The sequence below is a fragment of the Homo sapiens genome, chromosome 6 (genome assembly GCF_000001405.40).
Source record: "Homo sapiens chromosome 6, GRCh38.p14 Primary Assembly".
Lineage (NCBI taxonomy): Eukaryota > Metazoa > Chordata > Mammalia > Primates > Hominidae > Homo > Homo sapiens.
The window spans coordinates 44,633,307-44,650,924 of record NC_000006.12 but is presented as its reverse complement, the minus strand read 5'-3'; the positions used below and the strand labels follow the sequence as shown (position 1 = coordinate 44,650,924).

Below are 17,618 nucleotides of genomic sequence, written 5' to 3'. Positions count from 1 at the left end.
TGTCCCATCTGTGACAAACAAAAATGTCTGCAGACTTTGTCAGCTGTTCCCTGGGGTCAAAAGCACCCCTGGCTGAGAGGCACTGGCATAGAACAATTAAGAACAATGGTGGTAGGCCCTAGATACTGACATGAAAGGTGCATTGAGATGTGTTAAGAATGAAAAGTAAGTTGCACAACAACATGGATGTTAGTCCCAATAAAACGGATGTGTGTGTGTGTGTGTGTGTGTGTGCGCGCAAGGATTGTGCCCAAAAGCGGAAGTGGTGCCTCCTCTCTTGGTGGTTAAAGCATGAATACTGGCACTCACTCACCTGGGCCTTTTTTTTTTTTTTTTTTTTTGACACCGAGTCTTGCTTGCCCTGTTGCCTAGACTGGAGTGCAATGGTGCAATCTTGGCTCACTGCAACCTTCACCGCCCAGGTTCAATCACATCTCCTGCCTCAGCTTCCCGAGTAGCTGGGATTATAGGTGCCCGCCACCATGCCCGGCTAATTTCTGTATATTCAGTAGAGACAGGGTTTCACCATGTTGGCCAGGCTGGTCTCAAACTCCTGACCTCAAGTGATCCACCTGCCTCGACCTCCCAAAGTGCTAGGATTACTGTGCCTGGCCTGTCCTGGGCTTTTTATCCCAGCTCTGCCACCTACTACCTTCCCTGGCCAGTTTCCATAATCTCCATGTGCCTCAGTTTCTCCATCTGTAAAATGAGTCTAGCAGTGTCTATCCCAATAGGTTGTTATGAAGATTAAGTTCAGTCACTCGGTTTTGGCAAAGCATTTCTAGCAAAACCTGGCACATAGTAAGCAGTTTCCCGGTTTGAGCCATAATGAACATTATTAGCTCTGAGGAGGTAAATGGAAGGCAGGGGTAGAGGAGAGATGGAGACTTCCTGGTTTTGTTCTGTAAACTTCTGTTTGTCTGAATCCTGCACAATGTATTTATATGTCAATTGCATAATAACACATGCACACAAAAGAAAGAAATATTCTAGTTTAGCCTACCTCATCTTTTAAAATGAACTCTTTATTTTGGAACAATTTTAGATTCACCAAAAGTCTGCAACGATGTGCAGAGTGTTCCTGTATGCCTGTCACCCAGTTTCAGTTTCCCCTGGTGTTATCATTTTACGTTTCCCCGGTACAATTGTCAAAACTAAGAAACATGGGTCCATTACTATTAACTAAACTCCAGACTCCATTTGGATTTCACACAATTTTTTTTAACTAATATCCTTTTTCTGTTCCAGGATCCCATCCAGAATATCATGTTACATTTAGTCATCATGTCTCCCTGAGCTCTTCTTGGCTGACCATTTCTCAGTCTTTCTTTGTTTTTCACGACCTTGAAGAGTACTGGCCAGGTGTTTTGCAATACACCCCTCAATTTGGGTGTGACATATTCTCTTGATTAGACTAGAGTTATGGGTTTAGGTGACAACCACAGAGGTGAAGCACCCTTCTCTTTGTACCATACCAGGGAGTACATGCTATGAACAGGACTTATCACTGCTGATGTCACTTGATCACCTGGCCAAGGTAGTGTTTGCCAGGTGACTTGTAATTCTCTGCTGTAAAGCAATTCCCTGCATCCCTTACCCTCACCACACTCTATTCTTTGGAAGCGAGTGGCTATGTGCAGTCTCCACTCAAGGAAGAGGGAGCTCCTTGTCCTCGTGGAGGAAGTATCTACACAGGATTTGGAATTCCTCTGCAGAAGATGGGTCTCTTCTCCACAGTTATTTGTTTATTCTGTCATGTATTTATATCAGTACGGACTCGTGGATATTTATATTAGACTTTGGCTTATAATCCAATACTGTGCTATTTATTTTGTTGTCCAAATACTTATCTCCTTTCAGATTTTCACTTTCATCAGTGGGAAGGCCCTGGACTGGGAGGGTGGAAGGCTCATTTGTGGAGCAGGGACTCCAACCCAGAGACAGAGTGTGAGCGGGGGTCTTTTGGTTTCTGTTGGCCTCTGTAGAAGGCTTTGGCCAGTGGGAAGCAGGAAGAACAGAGGCTGTGTGACTCGTGGTAAAGGTGCAGAGAAGAGGAATGTGTATGAGTGGGGTCCAGGCACAAGGCAGGGTGAAACTCAAGTTGTAAGAATCATGGTATATCAGTCAGGAGTTTCCAAAGTAACAGAAGCAACAGTGTGTGCATGTGCATGTGTAAAGGAGCAGGGGAGAGACAGAGAGAGATTATAAGGAATTGCTCATATGATTATGGAGGCTAAGTCCCAAGATCTACAGTGAGCATGCTGGAGACTCAGGAGAGCTGATGGTGTAAGTTCCAGTCCAAAAGCCAGCAGGCTTGACACTGGAGAAGAGTTGATGTTTCAGTTCGAGTTCCAAGGGCCAAAAGAGACTGACTTCCCAGCTCAAAGCTGTCAGGCAGGAGGAGTTCCCTCTCACTTGGCCTTTTTGTTCTATTCAGGCCTTTAGCTGATTGGATGAGGCCCACGGACATTAGGCAAGGCCATCTGCTTTACTCAGTCTACTGATTCAAAACATAATCTCATGCAGAAATGCCCTCACAGACACACTCAGAATAGTATTTGACTAAATGTCTGACACTCCACGGCCCAGGAAAATTGACACATAAAATTCACCATCACACACAGGGTTAGCAACTTCTCCAGCAGCAAGCCCACTCAGAGCCTGGGAGCCACGGAGCTGGGGTTCCTTGGAAGACCACTGCCAGTGTTGTGGAAGGGAGAGCTTCAAGAGTGAGGGATGCAGGAGAAGGATCTAGATGTGCTTCTCATCTGTACAATTCTGGGGAAATCAAGGCCATGATGTGGTTGAGCAGTTGACATTGGAAACGTAGGACTTTCTCAAGGATCATAGAACAAAGACTGTCAGAGTTGCTGGATTTTTGTGTGATTTGTGGGGAGGGAGGAACAGGCATGTTGAAACCACCAGTATTTGGGGTGAGGAATAAAACATGGTGTGAAAAACATGTAATCATAGGCTATGACATTACAAGGGATATATCAGCCCTGCTGTGGTTACTCAGTCACTCTTATACAGGGAGTCTTAAACCAAATGCACCAGTTTTCACTTCGAAGTTGTGTCTTAGCATCTGTCCTGAACACAGTCCACAGGAGTGTGGAAGACACTCACCCTCCCTCCTTGGCTTCACGGTGCCTTTAGCTCTTTGTTCCTTCCCCCACAGTCCAGCCTCTTCATTTTCTTAACCCCCCATGAGGAGTCTTGGGCTCCCTCTGCTCCTTCTGGCCCCCCTGGGGAGGGGTGGAGAAGGAAGGAGTGGGGAAAGGAGGTGTATAGGCCTTGGATTCTGTGAGAAGACCTCTTTTGAGAGGGCCAGGCCTTTCCCTGGCCAAGCTGGCTGTGCCCAGCACAGCTTCTGGGATCATAAGGCTCTGGGCTCTTCTCTGCCTGTCACATGACCCAGGGCCTCCTCCATTCCTCTGGCTTCCTTATGTGTATTTCTCTAGGAAGAGGGGGCACGGGGTGAGGGAAGAACACCTGTCCCTTCCAGTAACACTCATTAAACATCCTAATATTACTTCCTATTGGAAAATAAAAGGGTCCCTCCCTATTAGTTTTATAAATTAAGAGGCAGAAAGGACAGCTCTACAAAATCTTCTTGGCTGGGGGTCATGTGCCTAGAGTCTGTCTATAGGGTTAAATGAGGCCAGGTAGGCCAGGAGCAGTGGCTCATGCCCATAATCCCAGCACTTTGGGAGGCTGAGGCGGGCGGATAGCTTAAGCCCGGGAGTTTGAGCCTGGGCAACATGGTGAAACCCCTTGCCTACCCCAAGAAAACACAAAAATTAGCCAGGTGTGGTGGCATAAGCCTGGAGTCCCAGCTACTCAGGAGGCTAAGGTGGGAGGACTGCTTGAACCTGGGAGGCAGAGGTTGCAGTAGGCCAAGATCATGCCACTGCACTCCAGCCTGGGCAACAGAGTGAGAGCCTGTCTTTGAAAAAAAAAAAAAAAAAAAAAAGCAAAAAATGAGGCCAGGTATATAAATAATTGTAATTCTTCATTGGAGTTGTTCAGATTATCTTCGGGTGGCAGAAGAAGGAGTCGTGGAATTTTTATATTTATCAGAAGGTGAAATGGGTTACAAATCAGTGTGGAAGCTCAGACCCAGCTCAACCTTTGGGTTTGGGCAGGTGCAGGAACAGGGCTGGTATTGAGGGGATCTTGGTCGAGGTCACACCTAAGGTCCTCTCGAGGTGTCCTTCCAGCTAACTTGAAGCTGTGGGCTTCTCCAAGACTTCTCCCCACATGGTCTGGCTGGTCAAGGCAAGAATAACTCATAGTGGAAGAAGAGGTGAGTCAAAGACAAATAGTGTCCAGGAGTGGAGAGAGCAGACAGCCTGACCACAAGAAGGCCCCCCCGGGGCAGCTTCAGACTCCCACGCTCTGCCGGGAGAGCCTTCCTGGAAGCTGAAATCCTCTGGCCAGGAAATTTTTTGAAAAATAACTAAATGAACCACATGTGGACCTGGAACTCAGACTATCAAAGAGGAAGAGGAGGAGGGGTGAGAAAGATGGAGAAGAGGCTGGGATACACATACACTATCCACAGAGCAGCTCCTAGAAACCACAGTGGTGGACATGTCAATGGGAGCACACTCTCAAGCACAGGAGGGAACCCAGCCTGGCTACCTCCAACTAAGGGGGTCTTCCTCTGCCCAGCAGTCCTGTTGGGAGAAGGAGCAGGGAGACCCTTGGGTTTCTATGCCAGGCGAGAGAGGCTGAAGCCACCATGAACAGGCATGAGGAAAATCCTCGTGAGCTGACTGTTTCCAACAGCAGGCTATGCCAGGGGCTACAGGGGACATGGCAGACACAGTCCCTACCCTCAAGGAGCAACTGTCTTTTTTTTTTTTTTTTTTTTTTTTTTGAGACGGAGTCTCGCTCTGTCGCCCAGGCTGGAGTGCAGTGGCGGGATCTCGGCTCACTGCAAGCTCCGCCTCCCGGGTTCACGCCATTCTCCCGCCTCAGCCTCCCAAGTAGCTGGGACTACAGGCGCCCGCCACTACGCCCGGCTAATTTTTTGTATTTTTAGTAGAGACGGGGTTTCACCGTTTTAGCTGGGATGGTCTCGATCTCCTGACCTCGTGATCCGCCCGCCTCGGCCTCCCAAAGTGCTGGGATTACAGGCGTGAGCCACCGCGCCCGGCCGCAACTGTCTTTTTGAGGAGACAAGCCTGGTTTTGGAAGTAGCACAGTCTGGGGACCCAAAGCATGGACTGAAGCTCAGCTCAGCCATTTATGGGTTGTGTTAAGCACCTGCAAAGGTGTTATCATCATTATCCTCACATTGCAGATGAAGAAAAAGACCAGGAGAGATCCAAGAAACATTTCCAAAGAATAACTGGGGGTCGTGAAGAGTTGTCAGGACACAAGGAATGGAAAGAGGACAAAGAGGACCGTATGAGTAATTTTCTAAATGGACTGCAGAGGGCCCGCTCACCGTTGACACAAATCTGGTTGTGAAGGGAAAGACTCCTCTGCAAAAGAAGCAGCCCTCAGTCTCTTGGGACACTCTGAATGTCCTATCCAGCATCTTGGCGTTTGCACTCACCTTTACTTTTCAGACCAAGACCACCCAGAGGACACCCCCTGTTGGCGCCTGGGTGGGATGCTTGAGTGTCTGGGAAACCTGCCTGCTATCCCTATACCATCATTCCTTGGGAAGTTGCCCCAAGGCTGAATCTGCTGCGGAACCTGCAGCTTCAGCAGGGCTGTGTCCCCTTCCTCTGCTCCTGTCTCAGGAAGGAGGACCCAGATCTGTTCAGGATCTGAAGATTGTGCCCATCTTCTCATCCATCCTCTCTTCATCCCAGGAAGCCCAGCTTTGAAGACCCAAGATGACCCCAGGATACCACAGCCTCCAGGCTCATGCTAGAAAAGAAAATAACCCTCCATGTCTGTCAATCAGGAACATGCAGGAAGCCCTGGAGGCCCCAGGAAGTGCCAGGAGCAGCAGGTCTTGACAGAAATATCTGCACAAATAGCTCCCAGTGGGTTTGATCTGATGTTGCTGCTACAATTCCAGATCCTACAAAGGCCCTAAAGAGAGATGCAAGGTACAATGTCTCTCATGGGACAATTTTTAATTGGCAGAGCTGAGGGGAATAATTCCTTGTGTCTTTGCCCAATGCCATCTTTTTCTCTTTTGTTCTTAATTTTTTATCTCTGGCCCTGGTGAACATTTGTGGTAGAAGTTTCTAACAATAGCAACCACATCGGTGATCATGGCTACTAATTATTAAACACCTCCCTCTACAAACCAACTTCTGGGCTGGCTGCTTTACGGGTATTATTTCTAATCCAGACAATAACCATGCAAAGTGGGTGATATTCTTCCCATTTTACAGATGTGGAAATTCAGCAGAAACAACAGAATTCACATACAAAGACTTCTGATTCTGGAATTATCAAACACCGAATATAACTGTTTTCGATAAATGAAAGAGCATCTTTAAAATATGAGTAAAGGGTAAGCATATTTGTGAAAGAACAGAATGGAACTTCTAGAAAGTGAAAGTCTAGACATAAAATAAAATAAAAATTTAAAACTCAGGAGAGACAGCCCAGCACGGTGGCTCACGCCTGTAATCCCAGAACTTTGGGAGCCTGAGGCAGGTGGATCACCTGAGGTCAGAAGTTTGAGACCAGCCTTGTTAACATGGTAAAACCCATTTCTACTAAAAATACAAAAAATTAGCCAGGCGTGGTGGCAGGCACCTGTAATCCCAGCTATTCGAGAGGCTGAGGTAGGAGAATGGTGCGACCTGGGAGGCGGAGGTTGCAGTGAGCCAAGATCGCACCATTGCACCCCAGCCTGGGCAACGAGAGCAAAACTCCATCTCAAAAACAACAACAACAACAGCAACTCAGGAGAGACTTTGCGAACTGGAGGACAGAACTGGAGAAGTGATCTAGAATGTAGCCCAGAGAGATAAATAGATGGAAAATGTAAAAGAGATTAAAAGCCATGGAGAATAAAGTAAGATGGTCTGGTGTATAATCAGAGTTTCAAAAAGTGAGGGAAGAGGGAAAGGGCCTAAGGCAGTTTGAAGGCCTAATGGCTGAGAATTTCCTAGAACTGATGACTGCCACTAGTCCACAGATTAAGAATTTGAGCTGAGTCCTGAAGATGGAAAGCGTGGACTTTGGATGCTCACAATGTGGTATGTGAGAAGCAGTTTGTCTGCAGAGGGTGTTGGGAGGGCGGCACGCTAGGAACTGGCCTTCTGGGACAGAGAGCAGATCCAGAGCCTCCAGGGGGCTTTGGGGGAATGTGCACAGCACAAAGCTGAGCCCTGCCTCCCAGGGGAGGAACATCAGGAAAATTTGCCCTACCCCTGGATGACACAGCAAGAATAGCAGGTGGTTCTGTGGCGTCATTTGGAGACATTTCTGGGAAAGGGAGAGAAGGGATGTTAATATACCCATTGTATGGATTAGGGAATTGAAGCACAAACAACAGAGTTCCATAAAGAAAGTGACAGCAGCCCTGGGATCAGAGCTCTTTCCTCTGGTCCCCAGGGCAGGCCCCTCTGGGTAACTAACAGATTCTCCAGTTCACCTGTTTGGCAGTCAGCCAAAGCATGGATGGAGCCACTGGCATCATTTCCAGCCCTGATGGGATTTTCAGAAGCAAAAGCGAACAAAGGACATTGCCGTGTCGCACTCTCTCCCAGACCCAGGTCTGCATCCCTTCCCCACAGGCAAAGTCCTAATGACCTCCGGCTGTGTCAACCTGATGACTTAGACTCCACTGGGGCAGTGTTGTCACATCTGTGTGACGTGCACATGAGTCAATTTAGGAGCAGCAGAGCTATCACTGAAAACTGAAAACAAGTCTGACACATACTGTCCTACGCGCAATGTGGTGAAACAGCAGACCAAGCCCCACAGCGCCAAACTGTCTGCCTGGTCCCCACCTCCGCCTCCCCTCTACCTTCACCTTGGTCGTTCCAGGAGAGCAGGAGACAGTGTTGGTTGTGGTTCAGCTTTCCAGCTCATCCAAACTCAAATTCCAGGCCTCTGACTTTCACAAGGTATCTAACACCGCTAAGCCTCAGTGTTCTCACCTGTACGATGGAGTCTGTACTAGCTCTTGGAATTAAACAAGACTATGTGTTTTGGTACGTTTATCAATAAGTGACGAATGTAGTTATCAGGCTTATTTCTAGTAATCTCATATTATGATTGAGTTAAATAGCCAAAGAATTAAAGTTGTCTGTAATTATACATGTTTCTTTTGGCTTAAGGTTTTAAAAGAGGACTCAGAGAATTGTCACAGCATTTCAAAATGAAGTAGCAAGAATGACGTAAGAAAGAATAAAAATGCCAAACTGGGTAGGGAGTGGGGAGTAAATTAGTTAGAGGTTTCACTTCCTTTAGATCTATATATGACAGTGATTCTCAACTGGGGGCAGGCCACCCTTTTTCTGGGTTCCAAAGACTTTCTTTTTTTTTTTTTTTTTTTTGAGACAGTCTTGCTCTGTTGCTCAGGCTGGAGCACAGTGACATGATCTTGGCTCACTGCAACCTCCATCTCCTGGGTTTAAGCAATTTTCCTGCTTCAGCCTCCTGAGTAGCTGGGATGACAGGCTCCCGCCACCACATCCAGCTCATTTTTTTGTATTTTTAGTAGAGACAGGGTTTCACCATGTTGGCCAGGCTGGTCTTGAACTCCTGACCTCAGGTGATCCACCCGCTTTGGCCTCCCAAAATGCTGGGATTACAGGCGTGAGCCACTGTGCCTGGCCCCAAAGACTTTCTTACTAGTTTGCCACATTCTGGATTTCCTCACTCTGCCGTGCTAGATTTGGCTTAGGGGATTGAGAGTAGAGATGGCAGGGCCCTAGCAGAGGGAGATATGATGGTGTTTAGATGCGTGTGTAATACAGAACAAAGGTGTGGTTAGACAGATGGCCCGACCCAGAGCCTGTCTGGATCTAAGGGCTGAGACCCCACTGTGCCCTGTTCCACCTTCTGCACCACCACAGCTGTGACTGCTGAAATTCAAAAGTGTATCACAGACACAATACATTGAGAAATCTTGGTCTACACATTTGAAGAGCAGGCACCACGGGTGGTCCAAAGGGATCCAGCAGAAACATGACAGTGGGAAAAGAAGGAAAGGGAAAATTAGACTCAATCAAAGGCATACAACTCCAAATGGTGAGTTCGTTCTAGTTGGCTGCAGTATAACCCCTCTAGGGAAGACGGTGGAGCTTGAGTCATTTAAACTCTGGCTGGGAAAAGTCACAGAGGATGTACAATAGACAAAGCTGGAGTTTGGATCAGTCTGGTGGTAGGACCAGAAGACCCAATAGGCGACTTGACTCGACATGGCTCTGCTTCTCCAGACATTTCCCCCCTGCTGTCAGATTCTGCTGAGGGGCTGACTCAGGCCCAGCTGATGAACAGGGCCTGGACACACGTGCATGGATGTGTGTGTAAAGGGAGGTGTTTTCCAAGTCGTCATTGCCTCGTTTCCTCAGACTGACTGGGATGTTTGAAAAGTTAGCATGTTCAGTCTCGTAAGAAATTTCACATTTCTTGCAGAGAGTTTGTTTTATGGGGGAAAAAAATAGAAGCAGGGGAAGAATATTCCATTTGGCTTTGCAGGAAATGATCTTTTTAATTAGAAGCCTGCCGCACATTTCAGATTTTCCAGCAGTGCTTAAGTTCACTGCCGTCATATGTATGTGTGTTTTTTATAAAAGCACACTGCTATTAATCATTTGTTTTTCCTAGAAAGTACTGGTTAAGGTGTGATTTCTGTGAAATTAGGTTATTTTGTGTCATCCATGTGATCAAGATTTGGTTAAATGTTATATTCTGTGTGGTTTGGTTCATAAAGGTACTTGAAGCCAGGAACCATCATATAAACTTGGTATAAATTCAGTTTTTACATTCAATATCATCCATACCTAGCACCATGCTGGGTAAATAGAGAGTGCTCAATAATTGCATATTGATTGATTGATTTGGGAAGTTACCCAAAGTAATAATCCTTCCAGGGTCTGTGCAGGGAGCAATGGGTGATTAAATTCAAGCCATTTTTTCAAAACCAGTTTGTTTTTCATTTCAGAAAAACACAGGAATCTGACATGAAGGGAAGAAACAAACTAGATTTTTACATAAAAAGACCTTGATTCAAAGGCCACCCTTCTCATGGCTCATCAAAGGACCTATGCAACATCCTGCCAGCCTGCCCTGCCTTGGTTTCTAGATCTATGAAATGGGGGAGCTGCACCCGATCACTGCTATGGCTCCTCCTAACCGTGCAAAACATTGCCATGCCCAGCAACAGCCAGAGCCAAGTTGCCTGCTTATATTGTCCTGCCACTGCCCAGAAGTAATAATGGGTAACACCACTGCTATTTGAAAGATGAAATGAGACTATTCTCATAAAGAAGCAGACAAGTTATCCAGGGAGGTGTGCCAGCACAGCAGAGCAAAGATGAGTCAGGAATAAGGACACCTGGGGTCTGGTTCTAATTCTGTTTCTGACCTGATTTTCTATATGATCTTTGACAAGTTGTTCAGTGTGTTTCTGGACCAAATGTTATACAAACATAAAGGGACACTCTGCCCATTATTATCAGCAGTAATTAATTGAGGTTACGTTTGTCTGTCTGCTTCTTTTTGTTTAGCTATCCTCAGCCATCTTGTTCCCCCAAGGATTAAGGACAGCTTAAAAATGAGGTAACACTCTAGAGAAAATCCCCCAAATCAGACCCCCTTATCTGACTCCCTCAATATTTTAATGCTGGCCATGAAGAAGACAATGAGCCTTGAGTCTCCTGTTCCAGTCCTGGTCCTGCTAACACATTAGCCATGTAACCTGGGGAAAATCACTTCACTCCTCTGGAACTTGGGGTCTGTGGTGGTTTAAAAACATGTCCACAGGCTGGGCGCGGTGGCTCACCCCTGTAATCCCAGCACTTTGGGAGACCAAGGTGGGTGAATCACTTGAGGTTCAGAGTTCAAGACCAGCCTGGCCAACATGGTGAAACCCTGTCTCTACTAAAAAATACAAAAATTAGCCGGGCATGGTGGCGGGCATCTGTAATCCCAGCTACTCGGGAGGCTGAGGCAGGGAGAATTGCTTGAACCTGGGAGGCAGAGGTTGCAGTGAACCGAGATCATGCCACTGCACCCCAGCCTGGGCGACACAGCGAGACTCCATCTTGGAAAAAACAAACAAAAAAAAAAAACAACAAAAAAAACACATGTCTACAAATTCTTTAAACTCTTCTCATAAAGACAGGATGCCTAATTCCCCCTCTCTTTGAATACAGCTTCCTCAAGGACTCACTTCTAACTAATTGAAATACACAGTGTGGCAGAAGTGGCCTTGCGTGTCGTCTAAGGCTAGGCCTGGTGCCCTCTCTCGGAACACACATCTTTGGAGCCCCGAGCCATGTGGAGGACTCAGGCGACTCTGAAGCCACCCTGCTGGAGAGACCACTGAGAGATAGAGCGAGATACCCGAGGGGCCCCAGCCATTCAAGTTTCCCCTCCCGGCTGCCAAACACAGCCTTCAGGATGACCCTGGCCACAGGCATGTCTAGCTGTAAGCTATAAAGAGGTGCCGACCAGCTGAGCTGCTCCAAAATTCCTGGCACACAGAAACTGTGAGAGATGACAAATGAATGGTGTCGTTTTAAGCCACTGAGTCTTGGGGTAATTTGTTGAGCAGCAATAGATACCTGAAATGGAAAATTTCCATCATCTCCTCCAGAAGGAACGCCTGAACTCAGTGTTACTCGGGAGGCCTCCAGCGGCCCCACGTGCATCCCGGGAGGTGTTTCTATTACCAGAACTCATATCCCATTATCTTCCTGAAACAGACACAGAAGTGCAAGGAGCTGGAGATTCCTAACTTTGACACTGCAAATAGACGAGCCTTTCTCCTGTCCTTGTACTTCCCAAGAGTGTAAATTACACAACCTGGAACTCTCAAGTTGATGAAGCATTTTGAACTCCTCAGAAGGCCCTGTTTAAATTCAAGTCATAACACGATGCATCTTCCATACAAAAGCCCTACATGGCTTCAGCACTCTCCCAAGAGGCAACAGTCAGAAAAGGCCAAGTTCCTGTTCTCCAGCTCATGCTCCCCTTCCTCCTGCTTAGACCAGTCACCTCACTGGTCACTGCTCCGAGTCCCACCTTGCCTATAAAATGGGTGGCTTGGTCAGCATACTCTCGGTCCCGTTCCAACTGTAGGATGCTGCAAACCTATGAGGCTAGGGTGTGAAAAAGACAAAAAGAAGAAAAGATAGGATCTCTGCCTCCAGAGTTTCTAACCCAGCGAAGAGGCAGTCCCGAGCACTGCAGAAATTTGAAGACAACAGGCAATTTAATTTTTAATTGGCTGGTGGGGCAGATTTTAAGACAGGCACAGCTGCAGAATCTGAAGGCCTCAGAGAGAGTAGCAGAAAATTCACTTTCTCCAGCTACTCTTTTTTTTTTTTCAGCTTTTACTTTAGAATCAGGAGGTACACATGCAGGTTTGTTACAAAGGTGTATTGTGTGATGCTGAGGTTTGGAGTACGAACGAATGAATCCGTCACCCAGGTGGTAAGCATAGTAACCAGTAGGTAGTTTTTCAGCCCTTCCCCCTGTCCCTTTCTCCCCACAGTAGTCCCCAGTGTCTGTTATTCCCATCTTTATGTCCATGTGTAGCCAGTGTTCAGCTCCCCCTTATAAATGAGAATGGGTGGTATTTGGTTTTCTGTTCCTGTGTTAGTTTGCTTAGGATAATGGCCTCCAGCTGCATCCATGTTGCTGCAAAGGACAAGATTTTGTTCTTTTTTATGGCTGTGTAGTATTCTATGATGTATACGTACCACATTTTCTTTATCTAGTCCACCATTGGAGAGAACCTGGGTGGATTCCATGTCTTTGCTATCATAAATAGCATCTTCAGCTACTCTTGAAGGATGGTGCTATTGGTTGGATGTTTGTGAACTCTTAAAATTTACATGTTGATGCCTAATTTCCAATGTGGTAGCCTTTGGGAGGTAATTAGATCATGAGGGTGGAGCCCTCCTGAACGAGATTGGTGCCCTTATAAGCAGAGATACAAAAAAGATGATACCTTTCTTCACCATATGAAGATGGAAGGGAAAGTCAGCTGTCTGTAAACTGGGACAATAACTCTCACCAGACTCTGACTCTGTCAGCACCTGGGTATGGACTTCCCAACCTCCAAACTGTGAGAAATAAATTTTTGTTGTTTAAACCACCCCAGTCTATGGTACCTGTTACAGCAGGATGAACTAAGACAAATGGTGTAATAGTAAAATTCTTAGTTGCAAACAACAGAATCCATTGGGTTCTTTAAGGGAAAAGATAAGTTTAATCAAGACTCTTGGAGAGCTCACAAAATTTCCAGGAGAACCAGATGCTGAAGTTATTAGCCATAAGCAGTGCCCAACCAAACAAAGGAGTTTCTTAAAGATCTCCCCATCCCCCACCACCACCACTTGGGAGCTAGGAACCCCTGCCCTGCAAACCAGAAGCTGGATCCCTTCTATGTCCTCAGGAACCAAGTATCTCTGCTAGCCCCTTGCCACCCAAACCGAATTCTGTTGTGGACATGTCACAATGCAATACATGGCAACGGGGTCTAGAGATGTGAGTTTTCTAGCTTCTCCCTTCATAATGTGGGGTTCATAATGTGGGGGATATCTGAAATGCAGGGAGGGTATGCAGAGATGGGTCCCAGCAGGTGACAAATGTCCCCCAAAGATGGGTAGAGTTAGAATAAACACAGGATGGAGGCGAAGCTGAGGGGGAAGGGGACAAACGTGAAGGAGGGTCTGGGGCAAGGAATCTGGGACAGGAGATTGACTCCCCTAAGTGGTGCAGAGAGGCAGGCGGAGTGGCTGCAGGCACAGAGGATGGCAGGCAGACTGATGGGCCACGAGCCCCCATCTCAAGATGCCTGTCGCCTGGCTGTCTGCGCCCCTTCCTCCTGGCTCACCCCAGCCCCACTCGGTCGTTTGGAAGCAGCCTTCCTTCACAGAGCTGGCGGTTCGCAGTTGGCAGGGAGCACTCTGCCTTCTCTCAACAGCCGTCCGTCTTCTTGTCTTCCCCTTTCCAACAGGGTGAATACATTTCTCTTCTGCTGTGCATGCCAACATACCTCGAATTTGCTGGCAGCAAGTACTTCTCATGTGTTGGTTTTGGAACCCTTTAGGAGCTTGTCCTATTTCTCTTCCATCTGGGCTAGAAACATGCCAACCAGGATTTCTCTAGATGTTTTCTTCTTAACCCTGGGCTGTAACCCAAGGGAGCATGCATCTAGACCCCTTGGGTCTCAAGCTCCATCTCTGCCTCTGGCGCACTCCCCCTCCACACCTCTCTCCGGGCAGCCAGGCAGTCAAGCCTTGTAGGTGAAGCCTCGACTTGTGACCCCCTTGAACTTAGTGCTCAGAGGCCGGGTGATTACAAATGGACATTTGAGCTTCCACTGGAAATTGGTAATATATATTCTTGGCAGCAATAAGGACAGGCTGTGAAAATTCTTTTCGTGTTGGACTTCTTTTAAGGAGTGAAGTTTTGTTTTAGCCTACTCGCAGGCAGTAGAAGTTGGTGGGGGTTGTGTAATGGGAAAACCAGGCTAGAACTGGAGATGTTCAAGGGTGGCAGGTGGAACCCATTGCCGTGTGTCCCACGAACATCAGTGCCTGCCACCTTGGAGGTGACCAACAATTATTTGCTGCATAGAAGACTGGATAATGTAGAGGAGAAAGCAATGCATGGTAGCACTTCAATCTCGCTGTATTAGACCCATTCCTCAGCAAGTGAAAAGAAAGACTCTGGGGATGCAGAGACAGTTGGTCATGCTGAATCCTCAAACGGCTCCTCATCAGGTGAGTATAAAGTCCAGATTTCTTGGGCTGGCTGAATAAGCTCTTCCATGGTCTGTGCCCAGCCTGTACCACTAGCCACAGAGCTCTGCCATCCCCCCACCCCTCACCAACTACCTTGGGCTCCGCTAAGCAACCTCCAGTCTGCGCCTTCACTCACGTTGTTTCTCTGCCTGGAGAGTCTTCTCTGTCCTCTCATCCCCACCAGTCAATAAACACAGAGTTCCTGTTTTAAGGACAGCTCAGGTTTTATCTTCTCTACAAAAGGTTTCTCCATGCCAGTGAGTTGAAAACTTATTTCCACACATACATAAAAACCAGCATACTGATGTTGACAGCAACTTAATTCATAATTGCCCAAACTTGGAAGCCACAAGATGTTCCAAGCGGTGAATGGATAAATAAACTATGGTGCATCCAGACAATAGAATTCAACATCAACAAGAAATGAGCTATCTAGTCATGAAAGGCATGGAGGAAACTTGAATGCATGTTACTAAGAGAACGACGCCAATCTGAAAAAGCTATAAACTGTATGATTTCAACTAGATGGCATTCTGGAAAAGGCAAAACTGTGGAGACAGTAAAAAGATCAGTAGTTGCCAGGGGTTAAGGGGATGGGGGGTGGGGGGAATTGGCAGAACACTGAGGATTTTTAGGGAAGTGAAAATACTCCGTAGGATACTATAATGATGGATATATGTCATTGTACATTTGTCAAAGCCCATTAAATGTACAACGCCAGGAGTGAATCTTAATATAAATCCTGGACTTTGGGTGATAGTGATGTATCCATGTAGGTTCATCCATTGTAACAAATGTAGCACTCCAGTGGGGGCTGTTGACAGTGGGGGAGGCTGTGTGTGTGAGGGGCTAGGGGGCATGTGGGAACTTTGTACCTTCAGCTCAGTAACTATGTGAATTTAGAACTGCTCTAAAAAACAAAGTCTATATAAAGCAAACAAACACATCAAAAAACCTATCTTTCTCCAGGCAGTTGCCCCACTCCCCTCCCTGCAACTGGCCCTGCCCTTTTTTGGTTCCTCCACCCCTGCCCTGTTATGGTCAGAGCCTTTGCAGCAATGCATTAAACCTCTCGGTGTCAGAGCCTGTTTGCTTCCACTCCACTGGGAACCAGAGAGTGGGAGCACGGCATATTCATTCCAGCCTTCCCAGAGCCTGGAGTGCTTTTTGGCTCCTGGTAGTTTAATGTTTGTTGAATGAATGATCCAGTGTTGTTGATTATCTACTAGGTGCCAAATACCCCTTCTCCTTGCTCCTGACCGTTCATGTTCCCCTTCTCTGCTGGTTTGCTTCCTTCAGCCTGTACAGAAGTTAAAAGAAATCTTCTCTCGCCCTGCTGTCCTACGTAGTTCTTGCCATATTTTTGTCCTAACACAGGTGAATTTCTCATAAGGAAGCCCTGTCCACACTATCGATATTTCCTGTTGGCCCACTCATGATTCCCTGCCACCTGGCTTGAGTTCAGCTGCAGCCCTGCTGGGCATGGCTTATGCTGCTCGCCTGGGTTGACGGCCTCCGTCCTGAATCCCTGAATTGCTCATCACAACCCCCCACTTTAGTCCCCATCTGCCTCTGCCTCACTCACCCGGCTGTCTTCCCGTTTGTGGCCTCAGCTTACCCTTGGTCCAGCAGCTGGGCATGAATTATTAGTCTTTGACTTTGCTCCTTGTGCTTCCCTGAGGCAAACATCCAGCCCACGGGAGGCCAGTCTGTTTGGTGTGACCCCATAAACAGGCTCCTCTAAGCTGCCCAACCCTGAAAACAGGACACTGGAGCTCTTTCCTAAGGCTATGCTCCCCAAGAGCTCCTCTGGTTCCTACTTCAACAAAGTAAGGCCCATTTCCAGGACACTCTTACTCAATATCTCTGCAGGATTGGATGCTATTAGCCTCTCTCTCCTGACCAACCCTATAATAAGGGCAGCCATGGAGCAATATTAATAAAATAAACATGAGTTTATTTTATTTTTGAGAATGGAGTCTCGTTCTGTCACCCACACTGGAGTGCAGTGGCGTGACCTTGACTCACTGCAACCTCCATCTCCTAGGTTCAAGGGATTCTCCTGCCTCAGCCTCCCAAATAGCTGGGACTACAGGAGAGCACCACCACACCCAGCTAAGTTTTTTGGTATTTTTTTAGTAGAGACAGAGTTTCACCATCTTGGCCAGGCTTGTCTCGAACTCCTGACCTCAAGTGATCCACCCGCCTCAGCCTCCCAAAGTGCTGGGATTACAGGCATGAGCCACGGCACCCCTGTGACATGAGTTTATTTAGACAGGTCTTAGGTGCAGTACTCCGTTCTGGGACAGAGCAAGAGAGTATGGACCACTTACTTCTCACAAGAAGCCCAGCTCTATGGATGGATAATAAATCTAGAAAAAAAAAATTTCTGGCCTACTCCAGAATGTATTCATTCTGTCTTCACAGAATGTATCAACTTTCAAAGTGTACGTACCTTTTAACCCTTTCACCCAGCAATTCCAATTCTAGAATTCTACTCCATAGAAATACACATATCCATAAAGGTATGCGCACAAAGATACTCTGTTAAGTGAAATGTTTGGAATAACCTACTTGTCCATTGATAAGGAAAAGGTTATATAAATTGAGCTAAATGCATGCAATGGAATACTGGGCAGCCATTAAAACAATGAGGTAGATCTACATGTCATAACGGGGAGAGATTTCCAAGATACCATGTAAATC

At 46.9% G+C, this 17,618-nt stretch overlaps 1 annotated feature.

Annotated features, from left to right (window-relative positions):
* Positions 7,063-8,262: an enhancer, noted in NCBI's record as "P300/CBP strongly-dependent group 1 enhancer chr6:44610400-44611599 (GRCh37/hg19 assembly coordinates)". NCBI's record gives its function as "activates an origin of replication core promoter dependent on BRD2, BRD4, P300/CBP, MED14 and CDK7 cofactors, with strong dependence on P300/CBP, by STARR-seq in HCT116 cells {active_cell/tissue: HCT116}" and the evidence as "EXISTENCE:reporter gene assay evidence [ECO:0000049][PMID:35650434]".